Source organism: Homo sapiens, chromosome 7 (assembly GCF_000001405.40).
Source record: "Homo sapiens chromosome 7, GRCh38.p14 Primary Assembly".
NCBI classification, from domain to species: Eukaryota; Metazoa; Chordata; class Mammalia; order Primates; family Hominidae; genus Homo; species Homo sapiens.
The window spans coordinates 41,972,234-41,998,287 of record NC_000007.14 but is presented as its reverse complement, the minus strand read 5'-3'; the positions used below and the strand labels follow the sequence as shown (position 1 = coordinate 41,998,287).

General features: G+C 41.4%; 1 protein-coding gene across 8 annotated transcripts in view; it reads left to right on the top strand.

The window, feature by feature from the left end:
- Positions 1 to 26,054, top strand: part of GLI3 (GLI family zinc finger 3) — a 303,320-nt gene that overhangs the window by 265,981 nt on the left and 11,285 nt on the right. For all 8 annotated transcript variants that reach the window (XM_047420208.1, XM_047420207.1, XM_047420205.1 and 5 more), the window contains 3 exons: positions 19,540 to 19,689; positions 20,566 to 20,730; positions 25,661 to 25,951. In XM_047420208.1, the coding sequence (XP_047276164.1) occupies positions 19,540 to 19,689; positions 20,566 to 20,730; positions 25,661 to 25,951 (606 nt within the window). The remainder of the gene's footprint in view (positions 1 to 19,539; positions 19,690 to 20,565; positions 20,731 to 25,660; positions 25,952 to 26,054) is intronic.

Sequence of the window (26,054 nt, the reverse complement as noted above, 5' to 3'; positions counted from 1 at the left end):
TGTCACATGCTTGGAATTTGAGCCTGTGGTGTGAATACCTTAGAAGAGGTGCCATATATTGATTACTTCAGCCATCTCAGTTTACTTGTAAAATAAATGAAGTCAGCCCCTGGCTCCTCTAAGTCCCTAGTGACCATTTCCATCCTTTACCGCCTCTTTCCAAGCATTACCTTAGAATGACCTGGTGGAGCCAGCTTAATGACAACATGTGAACCAAAAAGAATTCCTAATTCTTGCCCTTTGCAAAAAATAAATTAAAATTTAAATTAAAAAATTTTAAGTGTGCAGCCGGCATATAGGAGATGTCTTCTGCCCTAGAGCAGAAGCTTCCCTCCTCTGACGTAGAGCAAGAAAACATCAATATTAGAGCTAAATTGAGAAAATCTTTTCAGTGCATCTGGATTGGTGAACGGCTTAACTGCAGCTACAATGAAATATGAGGAAACAGATTATTGGTTCAAGTTATATATTTATGTTGCACCAAGCACCAGTTCCTGAGCACCTGCGTGTGGAAGTCAGGGTGAAGGCCTGTGGGGTACCAGGATGAATGTGATACAGTTCCTCTACTCAGGAAGCAGTCCAGAAGGGGTCAAAGCCATGCTCACGCAAAATAAACCCAGCTAGAAAGCAAAGCAGAAGGTATCATTTGAGGGATTTTGATGTTCAGGAGAATTAGGACACACACAACGTCCAGCCAGAACACCAGCTCTTTCTCTCTTTATTTTTAAATTTCTATTACTTGGACACTTTTTTCTTTTGCTCATCTAATCATATGACCGCAAAGAGCAATAGTGGATCTGATACTCAGTATTCTGGAATGATCATTGGCATCTGCCAGAATTGTCAGTAGCGTTCACTTTAGTAAAATGTGAACACTGCAAAACTCCTAGGTCCCAGCCATGCCTAGTGTAAAAATGTCAGCCTGCAAAGTTGGTAAAGTCCAGCCACCACATAGTGACTTTTAAGGGTGTTGTAAAATTCTTTCCATAAATAATGTTAAAGAAGAAAAAAAAAAGCTGGACTTCTCAAAATGTCAGGTTTCTTTATCAGCCTTCCAACCAATCACTCAGGGATGCCTTTCCTTCCTGGGAGATGGTACCATAGGCTTACATTATATCATGTATGGAAACATCTGGGGGAAAAACTCAACTCCCATTAAAAAATATATTTTATATAGCCCTGAAAGGAAAACAGTGAACGCCCACACCACTCACAGCTGAGATTACGGGAGTGTCTCTCCCAGCAGCTTTCCCATATGAAGAAATAAAAATCCCAATTCTTCTGCCCATTGTTTTATGGCCACATGGGCTTGCACAGGAAATCAAGGAGGAATTGTAAAACACTGCATTCACAGAGCTTAGTTTCACTTTACCACACTTGCCACATACAGATGCATCAAATCAAATCAGAACAAGATGTGATCTTACTGAGAAAGAATCCTTATAATATCACGTTACCTCCCCCTGAAAATTCCCCCAAGCATGCATAAAATCCAGAAGACCTTAAGTAGAATATTGAAGAGAGCCTTTAAGGCTGAAAAGCAAGCTGCATTTACCTTCCTTGTATCATATTATATATACATATTACAATTATGTCAGCGATTAAAAGCATTGTCATGCTGCATTATGAACTGTTTTTACGTTTAGGATTAGATAATTCTTTCCCCATACCCCCTCAGATTCCTTTTATGTCCTAAGGGCAAATCCTTTCTCTTGGGTCAGGAATGTAATAAGGTAGGTTTTCCTCTCTCTGGGATATTGTGTCTGTCTCACTGTGTTTAAATTGATTCAGAAAGCTCTTCAGAGCAAAATACAGTATTTTCTTTGTATATGAGCCAGCGGTTGACTAACCCTTGGGGAATTCTCTGTGTTGAGCATTTGAAAGGTACAGGTTGGGTATGTTTGAACTGCTGATGCTCAGTGAAGACCACTGGGAAAGTGGATTGGCCGTGGCTCTGAGAGAGGCCTTTTCTCTAATGTGGACTCGAGGAAAAAAAAAATAATTGTTCCAACAAATAATTTTTAATGGTACAATAATTTAGGAAAATTAGCCAGTTCATTTTAATAAGAATGGATCAAGACCAAAATAAAGAGGGAATTATAGTTTATACAAATGTATGAACATACAGTTTAAAGGCATTTAGCCACCAAAAATAAATTTTCTAAAAACAGCAGTTTTCTCTCCATCCACTGTATGAAGTGTTAACACATCCCTCCTGAGAGTTGAACCACAGGCCCTGGGATCAAAACAGAGCAAATTTACCATTTACACTGAAGGGGACTTTCACTTAGATTTGGTATCTCCTTCCAGACCACCAGTTAGCAGAGGTCAGACCCATTGCCAACCAAGGATAACTAATTTAACCCTTGTAATGTTGGTTACTGGTTTTGACAGTGCCCCAGAGTCTAGGATCTTGGAATATGTATCAAGTATAGTCAGAGTATCAGGAGTACACTGTGTGTGTTTGTGTCTGCATGTCTGCATGGATGCTTTCGGTTTTCTCCCTCCCTCCCTTCTTGCCTTTCTTCTTTCTTTTCTTCATCTCATTTATTTTAATGGGTACACAGCACCCCTTCTCTTCTGTGCATTTTCTGTAGCATTTAATTAAAAGGCATTTGGGAAATGTTCTCTTCTGTCGAGGCCTTTGACTCTCTCACAAATGAGCAAACTTTTAGACCTTGAAATTGCCACTTTTTTCCTCAGCTACATCTACATAGTGGGTAGAAAGTTTAGCCCTGAATTTTGTTCTTATCTATGCCACAAACTCATGGTGCACTATTAGGTAAGCTTCTGAACCCCTCTGAACATCAGGAAAACCCTCCTGTGGGAGATGAGGTGTGAGGAGGAGGCAGCCAAGTAGAAAGACATCGGACAAGCAGGCCAGGCAGAAGAGTTGGCATGAGCCAAAGCCCAGTGTGTGCAGCCTACACACCAGGTTCCTGCAAACAGATGAGAGAAGATAAACCAGGAAGGAGCATAACGCAAGCAGCCATGTTCCCACATCTATGACGGATGGATTCACATCCATCATGGGTGGCAAGGACCTTAATACCTATAGCCTGGGACCAGGGGACACATCTTGACTTTTTGCTAAACAAACTATGCTCCTGATACTTGTACTGCAGTTGTGTTACCTGACAAATGAAATATACAGACATCATTTTGCATGTACTTTAGATAAAATAACTAACAGGACACTTTTACTTTAAAAATCCAGGTGGCAAAATTTGGCCGAACATTGAGTTTCAGTTAGTTTCAGTCTGGTTTATTTTGCAAGCGCATTCATTATTTATTCCCCAGAGAGTGCTGAAATTCATAAACTTTTAACCAGTTGCTCTGGTATAACCACACTAAATTAATATTCTGTTCACATGCAATGTGGAGATCATTATGAAAGCCACGTATATGTCACAGGCATGTGCCTGAAGTGTCAAATGAAAGATTTTAAAGACTTGAATGATTATGCAATATACACCGGCCAAATACTCCCAAGAAAATCTGCTTATAAAAATAAGTTTTATGGAATAAAAGTACCAAATTAAAAACATATTTTGAGGAATAAATTAGCACTTCTTGAGGAATGAAATTCTTACTTTGGTGGGGAGGTAAAAGACAAAGCAAGAAAACAAAATTGCAGAAATGGCTCAAATTCAAGAAAAGTCACCCTCCCCCAGGAGTGATTTCACCATGTGAAGAATGGTGCTTAGCACAAGGCAGGCTTTCTTCCCAGTTCCCCTTTGGAAGGACCACAGAATTTTGCACACACACACACCCTTATTTATTTATTTTAAATTGCCAAGTTTAAACCTGTGTTTCTAGGTAAAGTGCCTTCTTTATTGCTCCAATGAAAATTCTGTAGGACCAACCTTACTTCCCTTTTTTGACTCTTCAAACATGTTAGTCATGATAGGGGGCAAGATTTCTATTCCGTGAATGAGATTTCCACAAGCAGATTAAGGAGGAAATATGCCCTTTAGTTTTCTATTCGTTGACAGCATTGCATTGGGAAGAAATCTCTGTGCAAACTGTCCACAAGAACAATAGCTAGGGGCCCAAATTCCAGTGAGATAGAGTGCAGCTTAATCTTGTCAAGGATAACTTGGTCTTTGTTTTTCCTCCTTCATCTGATGCTTTAATGAATTATTTCAAGAGAAACCTACGATAAAGCATCAGATTATTTTTTTCTACAGCCAGTGGGACATAACATTGAAAGTTAGGGTTACCATTTAAATGCCAGAACCCTTACCCCACAGTTATGTCAACATTGTCATGGTGGGCAAAAATAAATTTTAAAATTCTTTTCATTTATAACAAATAGGAGCCAACTAAGATAACTCTGAATTATGTCATGACTAACTCAGAACCCCAGTCTAAAATTATAGTCTGAAAGGAGGCCCTCCTTGGTGGACCCTACAGGCATCTGTGATGCTGAGGTTTATCAGATTGTGGGGAATAGAGCAATCACAGGAAATTGCTTCCGTTTCCTGTGGCTTCTGATTCTCAAAGCACAAATCTAAGGCAGGCAGCCGGTTGGGAGTATATTGAGGCCTGGGACCACATTGGCTCCAAAGCTTGTTGTTTTCAATAACACATTTCTAATAACACATTCCTCCAGCAAGTATTTACTGAGTTCCTACTATAGGCTGGGCATTGTTCCAGGCACTTGGAACATATCATTGAACAAAACTGATAAAAATCCCTGGCTGTGTGGAATTCACATTCTGGTGGGCGGAGCAGACAATAAATATTAAACAATGTCAGTCAGTAAATTATAGTGTGTTGGAAGTGATAAGGGCCACGGGAAAAAAGGGAGAGCAGCAGGGTAGGGCTTGGAGAGTTCAAGGATGGGGAGGTTGGACAGTAAGTGGGGTCATCAGGACCAGGATCGAGCGGGGCGATGAGTCTCTGTAAGGAGGTGGCATTTGAAGAAGGACTGCCAGAGGTCAAGTTATCCTCGCTCAGTGACCCCATCCTAGACGTGACCACACGTCTCCAGCTGTGGATCTCTATGTTGCCAGCCTCTGGAGGGCATTTTCCTCTAAAACCCTGGCTCTGCTCTGTCTCCCTTGTTTCAGGGGTGGTCAGGTGTGCCTCCAGGTCAGTGTGGTCCTCGGGTTTCCTCTCACTCCACCTTTTTTCTTGCCGGACACTTTGTCACACATCCAGCTGACTTCTGGTGACCACTCATCTGTATTCTGGGATGAGGTCACAGTCTCACTTTTCCAGCAGGCCTCCTTGATAAAAGGCTGTTGCACAGAACTGAATTTTGCAGGCAGCATGGGAGAAACAAAAGGTTCAAAACAACAAACTGCTTAAAACTCGAGTGCTATATTGATTTCTATTTGCAACTCCTTAGCCCCTTCCAGCACAGTAATTTCAAATGAACCAGTTTTCCTGCTTAAGCCCACACTCCAACATATTGCTAGACATTTTCTGTCTTTCCTGTCTGATCCCCCCAAACTTACTGGGGCTGGCAAGCTACCACTGGCAAAGAACTTAATACTTCCTTGCCTTAATCGCTTCTTTTGGGGTCCTCCAAAGACACCCCACATGATGACATGCTCTGTCCCCTGCCATTTACTGTGTCCTTTGTTCTCTCCTTTACTTTCTTTTTTTGTTTCCCTATCTCTTAAAATACCGGTCTCGTCATTGTTTTCAATTTCTTCCTTTTTCATCCTCTGTACAGTCTCCATTGGTCAGGGGTTTTCAAATTGGGCTTTGTGAAATCTTTAAAATACTGTGTAGGTGTTTTTTAGTTTACCAAAGATAACATGGGGTAGGGAAGGGGCCCACATTCCTGCATCAGCTGCAGTCTTTCTTAGATTCTCAAATCTTTATGTCCAGGATTGTCTTCTCTGTGGGATCTCTCTACCAGAGATGTCCTGGAGGCATCTCCACTATGATATGTTCCACACAGAAGGGTAATCGTCACCAAATCTCCTGGCCCTCCAATACTGTTATTGTCTCAGATCTTTCAAGCTGGAGACTTCGGTATCACCTGTTACTCCTCTCTCTAATTCATCACCCACAAATTATTCCATAATGTCTTTCACATCTAGCCCCTTACTATTCATCCTCCTGGCTACTGCTGTAGTTCAAGGTCACAGCTTTCTTGGATGATTATAGCAACTCCTAGATGGATTCATTGCCCAGTCTTTGCTTAGTGCCTCTATGATGCTGCCAGAGTTACCTTTTATAAGAACAAATCTGATCATTGCCCTGCTTAAAACCTGCTCTTGGTTGCCTGGGATCTGGTTGCCTTAGGGCACTCAACTCCCCTTATAATTTTTCCCCAGGCTGCCTCTGCAGCACTCATCCTACAGCCACTCACCAGCATGTGCACACATACACATGCATACACACACATATGCACAGACACGCACACACATTCCCCAATCCTATACTTGGCACCATTTTCCAACACATTGTGTTTTTCTTAACACTGGGCCTCTGTATCTCTCTTCCCTTCTTCCTCAATTCACTTTTTCCTGTGTCAGCCTCCCTTTCTTCCTTCTGAATTCAGCTCAGTTACCCTGTTTATGAAACCTTCCCTTCTTCACTATTTTATTAGTGCCTATCCCATTGTTTCCCATTCACCTTATTTAGACTCAGGCACAATGCCTATGTCTCATATATGTTTTGCCCATGGCACACAAATGAATGAATCCCTATAGCCTACTGTCTGGGCTTATGCTCTTTCTCTAAACTCTATGCCTTCTACTAATAAGCTAAAGAAAATTACAATCTAGGTATAGAACATGTAGTGGATACTCATATTGCGTGTATGGAGATTTTGCTTTTATATACTTAGATGTACTGTTAATAGGGGGTCAAGATGTTTAGGAGGGTACTGCACACCAGGGTGGCTTGTGAATAAAAGTTGATTGAAAAATGATAGAGTTGATACTTCTACAGGTTGAAAAGCATGCCGAAGCGGAGGGGCTTGCTTTCCACCTTGGTTTGGTAGGACAAACCTGGAAAAGCCCTGGGCAATGGGCCTGCTAGTTTTCTATGATGTGGGGAGCATGAGTGAAGCAAAAGAATCATGCATTCTTCTGAGTAGCTTACTTTTAATTGCCAAGCAAATGTGTCCGTGCATTGAAGGCTAATTTTTAGACAGTATTCGTTTCTGCATTCCCGCAGCCAACCTTGGATAAGATCCAATGGACATGTCTTATTCTGTCTTGCCTTTTCAGTGTTGAGCACAGTAACTGTCATATCATAAATAAGCTTTGAGTGAATAGTGAATGAATGCGTCAGCTCAGCAGGGACTGTGGGCAGATTTCCAAAGGGATAATTTTGCCTACTTGCCTGCCTCCTTCCTTTCTTCCAGTAGTTCTTGAGACGTGCCTGTGCTTCTGTGATCAGCAATCACCATCCATCTCTACACACACACACACACACACACACACACACACACACTTGCCTTAATCTATTTTTAATTGCCAATGGAAAGTTCTCCCAGCACTTACCGTGTAAGACCCTCCCTTAGCAATGTGACGAGCAGTAGGCCTTCAGGGAGAGCCATGACCGTGGATGTAGTTTGGACTGTGGCTGGTACCAAAAACACTTCTCTACCTCCCATCTTCAAAAGATTTCATTAAAACGAATTGTCAACTTTTCTCCCAATATTAAAAATACTCTCTCCAAATCTACTTGAAATTCAAATACATTTTATTGTAACTATGATTATTTTAACCTATATTTTAGTGATCAAAATTATATCAGAATTTCTAAACTTGAAGGCCAGTTCAAGAGCTGATTGTTCTAATGTTCAGAATCAGACTTCAGTGATGTGGAGGGAGTATGGTTGCTTTCGTAGGGCATTGAAGACAGAGACCACCCATTCAAATTGGATCTCGTTTTTCATTTACGTTTTTTATTTTATTCTTAACTTTTGAATTTTCTTGGAATCACACTGCATGTTCAGATCCTTTACTAGTAATACCTATATGCTTAGGCTTCATGTGGATTGCTGAAATCATAAAAATTAGGAAATAAAGGCTAATGTTCTGTGTACTTCTAGATACTGGTGCTCCTAGTAGCTTGATTTTCCAACAGGAAAACTTTGTGCCTACCTTTGTAATCAAGGAGACTAAAAATTAAATCTTCTCTGTTCTTCTTAGGGATAGTCATTGTGTGTGTGTGTGTGTGTGTGTGTGTGTAAGCAAGCATTAATCACCCTACAGTTAAAAGTGCAAATGTACTATTATAAATATTATTATACCTATTCGTCCTACCTTTCAAAGTTTTAATAGGAAAATAAGCATTATGTTTCCTTTTTTTTTTTTTTTTTTTTTGGAGACAGAGTCTTGCTCTGTCACCCAGGCTGGCGTGCAGTGGTGCAATCTCAGCTCACTACAGCCTCTCAGGTAGCTGGGACTACAGGCGTGTGCTAATTTTTATTTTTATTTTTTGTTAGAAATGAGGTCTTACTATGTTGCCCAGGCTGGTGTTGAACGCCTGGGCTCAAGCAATCCTCCCGCCTCAGCCTCCTAAAGTATTGGGATTACAGGTGTGAGCCACTGCACCCAGCCCAAAATAAGCATTATTTTGACAACAGGTTGAATAGTAAAATTGCTATTAGTGTAGAGAGAAACTATCCATTAACTCTCTTTTCTGAATCTGGCAGAAAACCAAGCCCATAGGTGAGGGAATTTTAATGTTCTGGGATACAATCTGGCTTCTGAAATCCTTAACTTGGATATAAATGCAATTGCAATGGATGGTAATGCTTTCTCCGTATGCTGGACTTGTAGGAATGATCGTGCATAAGAGTGACAAATTCATTTGATCCTTCGGAGAGGTTGCATTTATAGCCACTTTCTTAGCTCCTCTGGCCTTTCTATTTTCCTCATCTAGGAGCCAGTTGTGGAACAGGAAATTGGGATTTAACTGCACCTCCTTTGGGGCTAGAGCTCAAATCAGAAACCTTGGCTCTTACCATGTTTGCTGGATTTGTTCATTACAGAGATGAAATAGAAGGTGCCTCTTTGGAGAATGGTTTTCCAAATAATTTCGTTCCATGACTACACAGTTAAAATAATTTTGCCTATCTGTGTTTAATAGTCTTTTTTAAAAGTATCTCTAGAATAGATACTACTGAATCCTTACTTGCTTAACTCTATATCTTTCTTTTTGGTAATTAAGCCCCTAATCAATTTGCTTAAGAAGAGTTTACTGGTTTTGTTGTCATTTGGCTGAAACAAAGTCGATATTTAAAAGGATATGGTATAAAATTAAATCTGCTCAGTAACTTGTAGAAACGATGTGCACAGAGTCTTAGAATAGTTTACACACGTCACTTTACTTCTCCATGTAAAATCACAATAGGACTTAAATACAGGCCACTCCAGGAAAGAAACTCTGAGAAGCTCTTTAACAAAAGGCAACTTACTGGATGGTAAGAGAAGCCTCTTAAGAGACAACAGTTACATTTTCGTTTTAGTAAAATAACTTAGAACTCAGAAAACAAAATTTTAAGAGAAGGAGCACTTTTATAGTTTCTAGAAGGAATTAGGGGCCTGTCTTAGCCTGTTTCTGTTGCGATAACAAAATATCTTAACACTGGGTAATTTATAAATAAGAGAAGTTGATTTCTCACTGTTCTGGAAGCTGGGAAGTCTAAGGTCAAGACGTCAGAAGATTCAGTGTCTGGTGAGGGCTCATTCTATGCCTTATAGCTGGAGCCTCTGGCTGTGTCCTCACACAGAAAGGGAGAGGGCTCCCTCCAGTCCCTTTATAAGGTCACTAATCCCTTTCATGAGGGCTCTGCCCTCTTAATCACCTCCTTAAGGCCCCACCCCCCCCCCCTTTTTTTTTTTGAGATGGAGTTTCATTCTTATTGCCCAGGCTGGAGTGCAATGGAGTGATCTTGGCTCACTGCAACCTCCTCCTCCTGGGTTCAAGTGATTCTCCTGCCTCAGCCTCCCGAGTAGCTGGGATTACAGGCACCTGCTACAATGTCCAGCTAATTTTTTGCATTTTTAGTAGAGACAGGGTTTCACCACGTTGGCCAGGCTGGTCTCAAACTCCTGACCTCAGGTGATCCACCCGCCTTGGCCTCCTAAAGTGCTAGGATTACAGGCGTGAGCCACCGTGCCTGGCCAAGGCCCCATCTCTTAATACACCCACACTGGTGATTAAGTTTCAACATATGGATTTCAGGGGTGACACATTCAGACCATAGCAGGGCCCTTAAGGCACTTTGAAGAATGAGGATGTTTCCTTTTGACCTAAATAATATAAATAACATCAACCAATATTATGAATATTTACTTCTTAGAAACTCTTCTCAAAAACTCACATTTCCTTCAGTTTTTAGGTCACGTTAATATTAAGTCACTACTGTGATTCTATTTATATGAGTTTGAGCCTGCGACATGTGCATTCCTTAGGGTAGGGTGGAGGGTCAGCTAGATAAATTATGTCACAAATTTTACATTTATACCTAGTTATTATATAATCCAAGGTAACAGCAAAACTGAAAAGATAGAGATTCTGAATTAACAGTGCGTCAATTTTTCAAGCATCTTTAGTAAATTTTAGAATATATCATGGATTAGAAACTATCTGCTTTTTCAAATCATGCACTATTTTGCATACTTGAACTGATGTTAGCGTATGATGTTTTTTGGCTTTGTTCTGTTAACAACTCTGCACAAAGTTCAGGTTTCTCCATCTTTCCACTCATCTCTACAACTTGGACGATGAGGACAGAGGAATACAGAGAAGTCGTCATTTATGTGAGGTTCCCAGGTTATTAACTGAGGCCAGTAAGAAACCCACTGGAAAATACTGTATCATAAAAATATGTTCCACAGCCGGGCGCAGTGGCTCACGCCTGTAATCCCAGTACTTTGGGAGGCCGAGGCAGGTGGATCATGAGGTCAGGAGCTCAAGACCAGCCTGGCCAATACAGTGAAACCCCGTCTCTACTAAAAATACAAAAATTAGCTGGGAGTGGTGGCGCATGCCTGTAGTCCCAGTTGCTCAGGAGGCTGAGGCAGAAGAATCACTTGAACTCGGGAGGTGGAGGTTGTAGTGAGCTGAGATCATACCACTGCACTCCAGCCTGGGCAACAGAGCAAGACTCTGTCTCACTCTGTCTCAAAAAAATAAAATAGGTTCCACTTTGACTCAACCCATCTGTGTGTGTGTGTGTGTGTGTGTGTGTGTGTGTGTGTCTGTGTCTGTGTCTGTGTATGTTGTAGCAGAAGTTGTGATTAAGATGCAGTCTTGTGCTTCCATGGAAAAACACTTGTCGGGCCCTACCCCAGTCAGTCTGAAGGAGAGGTGTAGCTCTGGGGAAGTCAGATTCCATTCTACCTGGCTGTTCCTTCAACCTTCTTCCTATTCTCCCACAATTTCCTGGTACCAGACTTCATCACCAAGTATACTTTTGTGAGTTTTTCTTTGGAGGCGTGGGGTGGGGGTGGGGGGTAATATCTTTATTGAGATATAATTTATCTACCATGTAATTCATCCATTTAAAGTATACAGCAATTCGTATGTTTTGATATATTCTCAAAGCTGTGCAACCAATACCACATGAATTTTAGAACATTTTCCTTACCCTACAAAGAAACCCCATACCCTTTTGCTGTCATCCCCAATTTCTCTATTCACCCACCTTTTTTAATATATAGATTTACCTATTCTGGATACTCATATAAATGGAATCATGCAGTATTTATCTTTTCTTGGACTGGCTTCTTTCATTTAGCATGCTGTCAAAGTTCAACCATGTTGTAATGTGTATGCGTATTTCATTCCTTTTAATAGACTTTTGTTTTTAAATGTGAAATGATAGTGTTCTGCTGCAGTGAAGCATAGTCCAGCTTTCCTTGGGGAGGTCTGGGGAGGTGATGGGGTGGGGTGGGGTGGGGGTCATATTTTAGGTTAGTTCATTTCTCTTCTTCAGATCCAACATTATAAAGCCCTTTGTTCAGATAAAACATCTACCTTGTTAAAGAACTTTGCCTTTCTTACACATAAGAAAAAATAATTTTGTTACACATTTGTACCTAAAAGCAGGATTCAAATAACAGCCAGGAAGAAGTCCATTTATTTATTCATTTTTAACCAAGAAGCGTATTTTTTTATCTCGTCCTAATTCTTAATATTCACAAATCAGAAATAAGAAATTGCTTTATTTTTATAAAGAGAATGCTGGTTTGTACCCAAAGTCTTGAGTCCTCTGGGTATTTTCTGGTATAATTTTATAGTTATGTCAGAAACTGAAAGATGCCTTGATATTTATATTAACCAGTTTGAATTGAAACAGGCATTTTGTGAAGTCTCAGGGAGATCCCTCCCACAGCAGAGGCTGTTTCAGGTTTTTAAATAATCTGTTAGGAAGGAAGATTGATGGGTGCCACCAAAACAATTTAAATTATTTTATTTATCTAAAATTAAAGTGCACATTGATATATAAGGCCTATTTCAGTCCTGATAGTCTGTGATTCATGTTTTTTTCTATGTCTGCCTAGTGAAGCATTTAGGAATCCAATTACAAGGTATCCCCAATATAATCCACATCATGACAGTTGTAAAACTTTCAAAAATGTTGCATTTATCAAGTAATACACAAAACTGGAGGGTATAGACCTTATTTCAGGCAGGAAGTTTTGAGGGATTCTTGTGGAAAGTGTTTTTTTAGGCAAAACATTTCAGTCTTTCTTGCAAATCAGTTTTAATATAAATTAAATTTTAATAGATTCTAAATTATTTTCCCATTTTTTTCTTTTCAGAAATATTTCTGGACTACTACCTAAAGAGTAATACTACCTAAAGAGTAATAGGCTTATAACATAAAGTCAAGAAACACTGAAAATTGAGCTTACTTGAAATAGTTTACTTCTTTATATCCCATCTTATGTCAAAGTAGAAGACTTTCTTAATATCTTTCCCCAGCAAATCCCACAGAAGTTTCAAATTATCGAATCCTGTTCAGTGTATTAATTAACTCAAGCTGCATTTATGAGCTCACCTGGTAGACTAACATAAAAAGATTTTGAAACTATCAAACATTTCCAGTTTGACATTCTGAGAAGAGAATGTTTCAGTTTTATTTTCTGCCTTTTAAAAATATAATCACCGCAACAAATGGTGGCATCTTAATGGTTCAAGAGAGAGAAATGTAGCAAAGGCATGAATTGGAAATACAACTGGGGGTGGAGCAAGTGTGCTCAGCCTTCCACCAGTGACTCACCAGTGAACCCAGTGAACTACCAGCCAGAAAGGCTGTTCCATTTTCTTAGATGTTTATATATGGAACACACTGCTTTCTAAGCCCTTATTCTATTTTCTATGAAGGCCATAACACCACCTGTGTGTGCACATGGGTGTTTGTGTGTATGTGAGAGAGATCATATGTATTTGAAAACTATGAACATATATTTTGCTTTTACATGTAGCTTGTGTTGTGATGAACTTGGCGTCGTACCTTGTAGAAATCTTTTAAATTGATAAAGCAGTTCTGTGGGATTTGAGAAACATTAGATACTGACAGAAAGACTGGCGTGAAAAGTACATGCGCAGGGGAGCTGTCTGGAAACTGGTGAGGGTTGAGCCTGAAGCTTCGCGTTTCCCCCCTCCACTGTTTTTAGCAATGCTTAAAGGTAATATTTTTATTACAACAGTGGAATTCACCTTCTTGATGTTAAGAAACTGGCTGATGTAAAGAGTGGACAGACTTTTGAGGCAGCCAGGTGTGTATCTATGGATTAGTGATTCCCTCGGGCAGGGTTTGAATGGGGATGTGCAGATCTTGCACACACACATTTGAGCCTTGTGGTAGCATTCTGAAGAAGTCACTTAGAAGGGAGGACACTTATCGATCCAGAGAACTGTGTTTCTGAGTGGGAATTGGTGGAGAGGAGACTGAAGGAAAGCAGAAGTGTACTTCCCAGCCTCATGAGCTGCGTGAACGGCGGCTTTATTTGGAGAGCTGCGAGCCATGGACTGCATGTGTCCTTTCATCTGGAGGGTTAGGAACAGACCAAGGGAAAACTGCCTGCTCTGAGCTAATAGTGAAATAACAAAGTGAGAAGAAAGGACCCTGATTAGCTCAGTAAAGTCCATTGTGGCATCTATTTTGCTGCTAGTGAAAGAAAAGCTTCACTTTCCCATTTCTTCCTGTAGCTCTCCAAGCCTCCTTGGTGGACATCCAGGGCTCGGCTTCCCAAAGAAACTCCGTTAAAAGAAAGAAGCACCTTCTGCCTCCTTGATTGCTAAACCAGCTTGTGATTTCTCCCACCTTTCTATGGGCTCCCGGAGCCCCAAAGGAGTGGAAGAAACAGTGGAAGAAATACTGAGTCGTGGCTCATTTTGCTCCCATTCGATGACAGTTAAAAAAACATCATTTCATTGGTTTGCTATGGGCTCATGAGGTGTTCACTTCCTCAGTCACCAGTTCCCTAAGGCTAATGCTTGGAGCCCCAATTGGAAAACTGAAGACATGGACCCATCGGGAAGCTCAGTGTCGGGACTTGGCTTTTCTGGGGAAATTTCCTGGTCCTGATGTCCTGGCCCTGTTTATTCAGACAGGGAGAGTTCAGAGTGGCTGCGCCGAGAGAGTTGGCATGCCACATTGTAATTTACACCATCTATCTCTTTCTGACTCTCGGGCCTCTGGCAAATTGCATGTCTATGTGTTGGATTAGTTTGGAATTTAATCATGCATTATTTTCCCTCCAATTAAATTATTTATATATTTGATTAACGTTTTCACTGCTGGGAAGTCAAATTTTCAATGAAACCACAAATAAACTCGTGCCCATTGAATTTCAGGCCAGCTTCATATGGGGTCAATTCGTCCATCGAATGTTAAGAATTCATTGCCTATCACTTTTCTTATCTACCTTGGATTTTGGTGAGAAAAAGAATGTGTTTTTTTTTCTTAGTCCTAGGAATATGATACAAACAGTGAAGTTTGGCCTAATGTATGGCCCTCCCTTCGTTGGGGTACCTTTTATAGCGCAGGATCCTGATTTTCAGTCCTTCCTACTGCCTTTTCTTTTCTCTGGCACTAGAACGTACCTCCTTCTAATTTTGCTTTCTCAGGCTTGAGGGCTCACCTGTCAGATGTTAGTACGAGAAGGAAACAGAGCTCATCCACTTTGGGGATTAGCAGTCAATGGCCCATAGGCCAAATCCAGCTGCTTGTTTCTGTGCAGCCTATGAGCTAAGAATGGTTTTTAGACTTTTTAAAAGTTGAAAAAAAAGTCAAAGAATATTTTGTGACACGTGAAAGTTTTCCACATTCATAAATGAACAGATAACCCATTCATTTAAATGTTGTCTGTGGCTGCTTACAGCCCTGTAAAGCCTAAAATATTTACTATCTAGCTTTTACAGAAAATGTTTGCCAACACCTGATCTAATTCATTACTCTAATTTTACAGATGAGAAAAGTAAGGGCCAAATAGGTGAATTGGTCTGTCCAAAGGTACACAACTCATCAGAAATTGTCTGGAATGCTTCCTCCATTGCCCTCCAGTGCTCTGCCTACTGTGATATAGGCCCTCAGATGAACACTCACTGCAGAGGGCAATGTACAATGTATTTTCTTTTTTTTTTTTTTTTTTGAGACAAGTTCTTGCTCTCCCAGGCTGGAGTGCAGTAGTGCAAACCTGGCTCACTACTGCCTTGACCTCCTGGGCTCAAGTGACCCTCCTGCCTCAGCCTCACAAGTGGCTGAGACTACAAGCCTATACCACCACACCCTGATTTTTTTTTTAGACATGGGGTCTCGCTGTGTTGCTCAGGCTGGTCTTGGAGCTCAAGTGATCCTCCTGACTCAGCCTCCCAAAATATGGGGATTACAGGTGTGAGCCACCATGCCTGGCCCAATGCAGCTTTTTAAAGGAAAGTAAATATTTAGAACACATGCACATGTTAAGTCTGTGAGTTCTTAGAATTTTAATTTTCACTTGAAATCTAGTTCTAGGAAATATGTTAAGCTTAAAATACATTTGAACTGCTTAAACAGGCAGAGAGATGCCTCCCTTTTTCCTTATAGCAATTGATTACATCCTCTGTGCAGCATTTAAGCAGTAAAGAAGAGGAAGATTGACTTGGTTCCCCAGCCTCCTAGGTGTAGAATTTCATTTAAAGAAAAATAACTGTGGTCTCAATGCAAGTTTGAACTTAAGAGCAGTTCCAGAAAATTGCAAAAATATATTAGTTGGGACTCGGGTCTAAGGGATTGGAAAGGGAACATTCCCAAGATGCTAACCTTATGAAAATGAGGTTGCTTTAAGTGCCCAACATAAGTTTCCCCCACCCCTCCCCACATGGAGACAACAGCAAGGGTGTTCATGCTTGCTGACTGGTGTGGGATTTCCTGCCACTCAAATTTCCACACATTGTCTCAGTGGCAAAGGTAGAAGAAGCTGGGTGCGGTATAAATAGGAAATGATTGGGATTTTTCCAGGCACTGCCCTCCTCCGCTGGTTGCCAGTTCTCCCTTCTCTGCTCAGTGCCGGATCCCTCAACACCATTGTAGGCAGATTCTATACCTTCCCCGTCACTTTGGATAACTAAAGTGTCCAATTTAAACGTCCAATCTCAGGTCCAATCCAGAGCCTTCCCTTCCCTGTCAGCAGCGAGGCACAGGCCTCAAGGGAACTGGCAGGCTGTTTGCCCTCCCTTTGCCACCTCACCTAAAGGAGCTGGGGCCTGGGAGTGCTGCCAGGAGATGCCTTCCCTTTCTTTCTAGGGTCCAGCTCCTCCAGTGTGTTGGATGAGACAGGAAAGGAAAATATGAGAGTCCCTTTTTTTACTGGCCACTGTTGGCACCTCCTTCTTAGCCACCCCTGCTCCCTTGAGTAGCACCAGGTTTCCCTGATGCCCTCCTCTTCAGGGGCAGACATGCAAGCCTGGCTTTCCCCTGGGGTGTATGTGAGTTTTATGCAGGGGTATTTCCCACATCCTCACTGCTGGAGACATGACTGAGCACACAGCATTTTAGGTGAGCCCTGGCAAGCTAACCCAAGCTTACCTACGTCATGGATGTCCACTTGACCCACAGAAAACTCATGCCTTCTCGCCATGCCAAGTGGTGGCAGTCTCTCCCTGGCCAGTTCTCTCCTGCCATGCGTGGCCCTCACGCTGTTCCTCAAAGGCACCAGGCTCTGTTCTTCTGCAGGTACTTCTGTGTCATCGGTCCGCTGTAGTGTCCCATTCTCCTACCCCATCCTTCCCTGCACACCTGATGTGTCTACTCATCCTTCAGGTCCTGCTCTAAATGCTGCTTCATTGGAGAAGCGGACCCTGATTCCTGATGCTGCACACTGACTTATGATCCCATTACATGTTTTTATAAAACCCTGTTATCTCCCTTCATAATGCCTATCACAACTGTAATTGTATAGTAATTTAAGCCATGACCTGTTTCCCTCTGGTAGACTTAATTCCTTGGGGCAAGAATCATGTCTGTCATGTTCTCCAGCACAGGGCCTGGTGTGAGTGGCACCCAGCACATCCTCATAAAAGCATGAGAGAGAACAGGGAACTAATAAGACATGGATCCAACCTTAAGCAGTTGGCTCAGCACAAATTATAATTCAGTTTCCCAATTTTACCTTTTCCTTTCTCCCTCCTGTGTTCCTTCCTTATTCTTCCCTTTCCTTCTGTCTCCCTCACTCTCTGCTTGCCTTCCTTGCTTCCTCCCTCCCTTCCTTCCTTTTTTCTTTCCCTTTCATATGCATTAATCCAAGGATCCAAGCTTTATTTCCAATGACTTGGAAAACTGAACCAAGAGCAACTGTTAGGGAGTGTTTTTGTATGATCATTTCTTTTTCTCCCGTTTGAGAATCCATAGAACCCCTCTGTAAGATGTGAGCTTGGTTTCCAAGGCTGGGCTTCAGCACACATTTGGGAAAGCCCTGGTCTTGTGTATGGGCTACAAAGACTTACTAGAAGCAGACGTGCGGATTGAACGTTGACCCCTGTCCAGAACATCTGTTCTCTTCCTATACCTGTGTGCATCATCATAACTTTAAAGAAACACTGACATGGAGCATGGCTGGCTTTTCATAGGAAACCCACATCTGTTTGCCGTGGGGTTGCTCCCCAACCACTGCAGTTTCTGTGTCATTTTTGGAGCTACTGACGGGACATTGGCTCTCTTCTTGTGTGCTGCAATGTACCACTCTCTCTCTGCTCTTCATCAGATTTTTCTGGGAACTGCTCCAAGGAGAGGAGATAGAGAACAACAATTTCTTTTCTCTGTCCTCACCCAGTTTTAAACTCCAGAAACAGCATAGAAAACTTTACTTTTGTAAAACTTTTTTTTACCTAAAGCGAAAGGCCATCTAGTGGAGTAACTGGGAAAGGCACACTCTGAGGGCAGAACTTCACCTTCAGACTCACAGCGACCACCGCTTTAGGAGCCCTGGACTCAGCAGGAAAGTAATGAGAGGTTGTGTCACTACCACACGAGGCATGGAGCCAAAGGGAGCTTTCTCTTATTGAACGAAGTTTTTTGGTGATGTAGTTCTATGTATACTTCAGAAAGTGTTCCCACAAGCCTTAAATTAAGGCAAATAAAATGTAGAATCACCAGAAAATAAAGACCAACAGCATCAACCTAGGATGCAAATGTCTTCAGTAGTCCATAGCTGGACATTGAAATAGTATGCTCAACCTGTTGAAATTGACCTTAATTTGATTCAAATTAAGAAGCTTCTCTTCCTCTCATGCTGCAGTAGGTTTCTAATGATTCCTAATTGTATTAATCCAAGAAATTAAATGATTCTAAAACCATGAATTGGTAAGTAATTCAGAGAACTTCATCTTTATGTTAAAAACTGTATTAATAGAATTTTAGAGCTAGAAAGTCCCTTAGCAACTAGTGAATCCAGTCATTTATTTTCTACAAGAAGAAAACCAAGGCCCTGAAAGACTAACTTATTTGTTGATGACCACACAGTCCTCTTCCTCAGTATAATTCTTTTCTCTGCAATTCTTATTCAGGAAGCAGTCTGATTAACCCTGAGCTAAAGTTTCATTTGCAAGTGCTTTTGGTTTTTTTGTTCTGGAATTGTGCATGTCTGTGTGTGCCTTCCCTTTTTGAAGCCTAAGCCGCGGTGCTAACCCATGGCCCAGCATGTGAGAGTTGGAGAACATCTCTGCAGTTGTTTAGCCTCAATCGCCAGCCTTGGCAAGGAAAAATGACAGAGATTCAGAAAGGTCAACAGTGGCTCACCTCATTTCATAACTAGCTGGTCCCAAACCTGGAATTGAACTCTGCTCTTCAGATGGCCAGTGTACTGTAGTATATTTCCTGGAATGCCAGGCTCCATCCCGGTCTTGCCACTCCCACTGGTTAGGAAGCATGCATACACAGTTAGCAAAAGCAAATTTACTTGAGAAGTGTACTAACTGGAATTTTTATAATCTGTAATATGGTAAAGTTATTCTTGTGGTCTTTAGAATTTTTAAGATTGGGGTATTTTCTGCATTTTCTTCTGTCGCCTTCAGAAATGATGAATACGTTTCCATTTGATTTCTCTCTCTTTTTCCAAACCCCAGCATATAAATAACGACCATATTCATGGAGAGAAGAAGGAGTTCGTGTGCAGGTGGCTGGACTGCTCAAGAGAGCAGAAACCCTTCAAAGCCCAGTATATGTTGGTAGTGCATATGAGAAGACACACGGGCGAGAAGCCTCACAAATGCACTGTGAGTACAGAAGTGGGTGGCAGGCACACTTGGGTCCTTCCCCATACTCATAAGAGCTGTGCAAACTGATGACACCAGCTCAGGGGAAGCGTGGTTGGGTGGCAAGAGAAGAGGACTAGAGTATTGTCTGGTGATAAATGCCTCGGTGTTTGAGTGACTGAGTTGGACAGCGCAGCTCTGCACAGTGGCAAGGGGGCAGTGGTGGCTGGCACTGGGAATGAATAGCGGGCCACCCTGCTGGCCGCAGCCCAACAGCTTATGGTACCACGGGGCTTGGAAGGCAAAGGGAAGTGCCAGCTTCCAACTTACAGAGTTGAAGTTGACTTTTAAAACAGCTAATCCCTATACGAGGTTTTAAAGTTTTCCCTTCCTTTCCTAGTGAGTCCTCAGGCATAGGCGTATGGAATGGGAAGGGGGTGCCGCAAGGTTGTGCATTCTTCACTGAGGTGCCCACGAGGCGCACTGGGCACGCTGAGCCCTGGTACTTTACATCTTAAAGGCCCTTTACAAACATGATCAAATTCCATGTCTTTGTATGGACACAAAGCTATATTAATGAACTTTGTGCTGAATCTGAAATCAGTGGGAATTTGAGGAGATCAATGAGCAGATAATGAAACCCATTGTCCACATTGAGCGGTCTATTAAAAAAAAAAACTTCAGGACTTTTACTGGCACTGAAAACTCTTTATCTGGAACTACACCAAGCTACATCTGAATCCCAATAAATGCAGAGTTTAGTGGACTTTTTGTTCCTGGGTTTTGAAAAGCTGCTGACCCTTGAAACATCAGTTTTTCATCAACTTGGAGGGCGTGTTAGGCATAAGCTGCTGTTGCCATTGTGCAGAGTAATCCAGATTTACCTGTTGTCCTCAGTTTGAAGGTTGCACAAAGGCCTACTCGAGACTAGAAAACTTGAAAACACACTTGAGATCTCACACTGGAGAGAAACCATACGTCTGTGAGCACGAAGGTTGCAACAAGGCTTTCTCAAATGCCTCTGATCGCGCCAAACACCAAAACAGAACGCATTCCAATGAGGTAAGCATCCTCAGTGGGCATGGAGCTTGCATAAGGAAACAAAGAACTATCCCGGGGAAGGCACATGGGAAGGCGCAGTGTGTTCTGTTTTGTTTTCCCCTTGGCCATTCCCAGCATGAGGGGCTCTGCCCCTGCAGGTGAAGGCTTGAGCTTCCTAGGTGGGACTGGAAACTGGATCTTATTTGGAGAATAATAAGAGATGAGGAGGAAACTTCTTAAAACCCCTGCGAACTTACTAGTTTCATGTTGTTTTGAACTGCCACCTACTGGTCAAACAGTGGGAGCATTTGACTTGGAATCTGAGCCAGTCACGCTGCCCAAAATAGCAGGAATCCATGCAAAGGATGACCCCATAAGCCCCAAGGATATATTAAGAAGTAGCATGTTGACAGCTGACAGCTTCCTGCTAAGTCATCCACTTTTATTTGCTTCCTCCAAGTGGTATCTTCAAATGGTATTATATCAAAAAAGATTTTTACAGAGCAACCAGCCTTGGCTAAATGCAATTTTCAGACATTCTAAATTCCAAAGGATCTTGGAAAATGGTCTCAGAAACCCAGAATACTTTCTAGGCAGTTACTTAAGAAAACATATTGAGTAAAGCTTCAGGGTGATTCCTGTTGTGTTACTGTTATTTTTAGGTAGCGATCCCCCCTAAATTGTAGAGAGGCATAAGAATAAAAATTATTCCAAATTCATTGCTTACATTTTAGTGAACATCTTCCTACAGACTTCCAATTTGGCCTTGGAGGTCTAGCTCAAATTCTGGCTTGTCTGTGAAATCTTCTCTTGAATGTATTGAGAGATTAACAAAAGGACTCCCCACATTTTGAGTGGAAATAGGATAGCTAACCAGAATTTGTTAACATGAGACATAGTTCAGCACCACAGCGTGTCATCAGTTTGCTTGAAATGTGTTAGAGAAGGAACATCGTGCACACATGAGACCCTGGAGTGGCTGTCATTTCATCTCACCAGTGCAGGTCAAACACATTCATGATCTTTCAGACAGAGAGCTGGGCAGAGAGAATCTTGATAGAAACAAAGTGAGCCATTCTGCTCAGTGGACTTTTGGCTTTAAGGTGGCAAAGATGGTTCTCACCATGTTTTCTTCAGCTGAAACTGACAGAGCAAAAACATCTCTAAAGGGATTAACTGCACTCTGTAAAAAGCACACTCACTCATAAACTCACACATGTAAGTTCATATATATACCAACTTTCTGTGTGAAAAGGTCATGGAAACTGGAGTTATTCGGAATCTCATTTTCTAACTGTTTGAAGACATTTTAAAGATGCCACATCTCCATTTTTAATGTAAAAATGCTTTTACAGTATGCAGTAGCTGGAATATAATCTATTACACTTGTTTTGTACAAAATTTTAGGGAGTCTAGAATAGATAGATACATAGAGATAGAAAGTAGATCAGTGGTTGCCAAAAGCAGAGGGGAGAGGGAATAGTGATGACTGCTAATGGATACAAGGTTTTTTTGTTGGGGTGGTGAAGATATTCTGGAATTAGGTAATGGTGATGATTACACAATGTCTAGAATGTACTAATGCCACTGAATTGTGCAATTTAAAGGGATTATTTTTATGGCATGTGAATTATATTTCAATTTAAAATTTTAAGGGGTTTTGACTTAACAGAATGTATTTCATATATTTCATAGATTTAAGTGTAATTTTGACTAGAAATTTAGGGGGCATTCATTCCTATAGATGTTAGGCCAATGCTGTCTCCTATTATCATGGAGAAGTTTGGACAGAGGGTATGTTAGGATCAGAATGCACACATATAAAGACAATTACCAAGCTTTTTTGTCTTTTTATGGACCTAAAATATTTGTACATGTCTGTTTGCTTTAATTGTGGTGTAGTTGAGCTTGTGTTCTTCTCCAAGGTAAAAAGTGCAATGTTGTGTGAGAGTTGAGTGTTTGTTATAAGATTAAAAGATAAGGATATCTTGGGTAGTAATGTCATTGACCACACTTGAGCAATTTACTTAAATTACTAACTTTTATCATAAATACATAATTAAAATTCTACCCACAGACATATTTACAAACAAATTATACTTCTCTCTTCTATATGCAAGACTTTGGCCCTGTGTGTGACTGATGGACATTTTCAGACGCATCAAAACTAAGTTTGTCCAGGAAATCCAGATTTGTGCAATTTCACAATCCTAGATGAATCAAGTGATTTGCCTTCATTTATTTCCTCTCTTATTTGCAACTTCATTTATTCATTGAACAAATACTTAAAGCTATTTATGTGCCAAGCCCTTTGCTGTTCTAAGTGTGGCCAAGAAAATAATGGACTGTAATGGGAAGGGAGTAATTGCTGGCACTTCTCTGTTCCTCTGGCTGTCCTGCTCATTTAGGGCTGCTAGACTGACCGTAGCTCTGACAGGACTTCTTACTCCAGATCAGACAGCTCATTTTTCCCCCAAAGATACCGCTAAACAAGTTTCCTGAGCTCTGATTCGGTTGAACCTCCCTCTCTAGAAAGCTGCAATGGCTCCCTCTTTCCTATAGGGAGACTTGAGACTCCCTAAGGTTGTGTAAGTGTCAGTTCTCACAGGGCCCAAGCTCATCCCTCTAGTCCTGACCTCTCACTATCATGACCATGAATGAAACCTTCCAGAAGCTGGTGCTGTGCACTGCCATGCTTAGGTGCATGAAGTGGTTCTGCCACTGGACCTTTGCTGAGGACACTTCTTTTTGGCATCCCAAGTAAAATGACTCCTAATAAAAGCTCTGTATATTGAGTGCTTACTATGTTCCATGCATCCTGGTAAGCACTTCATGTACATGATCTAATTTAGCACTTACTGATAATCCCGTGAGCTGGGCATTAAGCCCAGATATAGAATCTTAATAACTGATGCCTCCCATGATTATCCTAGCTGAAAAATGATCCCTCCTCTGTCTATATCCTTACATAGCTTTCACACTTTATATTACAGATCATTGCATCTTCTTATTTTTCCTATCAGATTTTGTATTCCTTATGATTAAATTTTGTTGTATGCAACTTTGTGCTTGCAGAATCTTGCACTTCAGTAAGTCTGAGAACATTTTTCTTAGTCTCTAATTATATTTTATTTCAGTCACTGATCACAACAAAATTTGTGGGCAAAAGTTGTGTGAAGGGTTAATATATTTTGTTTATGTTATGTTGTTGTGAGGTATACATTTCCTGAACCTGTATTCTTGTGAATTTGTGAATTTTTGTGGGTAGATAATGTGTATGTTCACACACAAGGGCACACGGGCACAGGTGCACCTGTATGGGCTGTTGTTTCTGGAAGTGCAGGAGCCGACACATTTGTATCTCATTACATATTGGCTGCGTCCTTGGTTCTAAGCTAACCCATAATGTACATCCATATATTTACAGGAAGAGTAGCTCTCCAAACATGCAGGCTTTGTGCTCCCTCTCTCCTTCTGGTCTCCATACCTCTGCCCCATATATCCCAGTCTGCCTGTTGATGGAACAACCTGTCACAGGAATGCTGTGAGCAAGCATAGGGCCTGTGTCAGAACACTGTAAGGTAATGGCACTAATTATCAGAGCCAGTCTTTTGTCCCTAATGCATAGAATTTGATGTGCTCATCTTATTATATATATATATGCTGCAAATCACACAAGCTCCTGAATAGATGTAATTCATAGTTAATGGGAATCAATTCTGCCCAAAGGAGTCTCAGGTTTGGAGGTGAAACCTCTCAGTTTCAGGATCTTTGCTTCACTGCATTAGGACATTTCAGCATTTTAGGTAGCACTCAGTCTGTTCTTGGGCTTTTAGTGAAAAAGCATCTTTTAGACATACATTCTACAAGACACGGCATCCTTTTAAATATAATAGGTACATTATAGTAATCCTGCTTTTCATGACGCTTGCTTACGTAAAAGCTCATCCTCTGCTATACATAGATATAAATATATATTCATGAAAGCATTCTTGCGTATATTATATTTTAAGCCAAGTGAACAAACTCACAAATCCGATGTTGGTCATGAGCCAAAGGTCAGCAGTTCTGTGATTTCAGAAAATAATCCGCTTATATAAGCATCCGCATAATTTTTTATGACTGTATCCTTAGGCTTGATCACTGACCCACATAGAAAATGAAATTAGCATGAAATAATTTATAGACCTTAGTTATAAATTCACTGAGGAGAAGAAAACAGACCAGAAATCCTGGTCCCCAGAACATCCGTCAGCCCTCTGCAGTTTATGATGAGGATTCATGGACAGTCTGTAACAGGGCTTTCCAACTTCAAAGAGCAGAAAGGTTCTGGCTATTTTGAGCCCTGAACATCCCCACACTTGTAATGCTACCCAAAGGAGCACATTTTAGTGTCATCTAACATGGGAGATGCCATCGGCAATTTTTAAATTATGCCTGTGCATAAATAGCACATTTTCAAAAGGATCAGAGTGATATTAGATCTCACAACCAGGACATCCATAAAAAACTTTGTCACACAATCTCTTCTGAAAGGTGTGCAGTCTTCTCCTGATTAGATGATGGGTGTCTTTTAAGCCATCTTCATAGTCATCGTCATCATCATCATCATCATCATCAAATATCTATTGAGTGCCTATTATGGCACCGTGATACTTCTCACTCACAGTGTAAATGCTTCCAAGAACATCAAGGCAATTTACACATTCTTAGTTCTCCCTGAGCCTCTCTCTCAAGCCATAATCTATTAAAGCTAAATTCTATGGACACGGAACAGTGTTCTAATGGCCTTATTAAACTATTAGTTCCTAGAGGTATCTGAACACCTCAAAGCCTTGTGAAAGTGTTTTGAAAGGATTAAAAATGTAATGAGCAACCATAAAGGACTTTTGGGCTGGGGCATAGTCTCTTTCATAACAATCTCTTACCTCGTTCTTGTGGGATTTGGCAGAAACCATATGTGTGCAAAATCCCAGGCTGCACTAAGCGTTACACAGACCCAAGCTCCCTCCGGAAACATGTGAAGACAGTGCATGGCCCAGAGGCTCATGTCACCAAGAAGCAGCGAGGGGACATCCATCCTCGGCCGCCACCCCCGAGAGATTCCGGCAGCCATTCACAGTCCAGGTCGCCTGGCCGACCGACTCAGGGAGCCCTTGGTGAGCAGCAGGACCTCAGCAACACTACCTCAAAGCGGGAAGAATGCCTCCAGGTGAAAACCGTCAAGGCAGAGAAGCCAATGGTATGTCATTCACTCTCCTTCTGACTTCACAGCAGGCCCATTTAAAAGAGCCAGGTAGGGTGCATAGAGGGACAGGACTTCCCGGTCCTCACTGTGTCAGGCT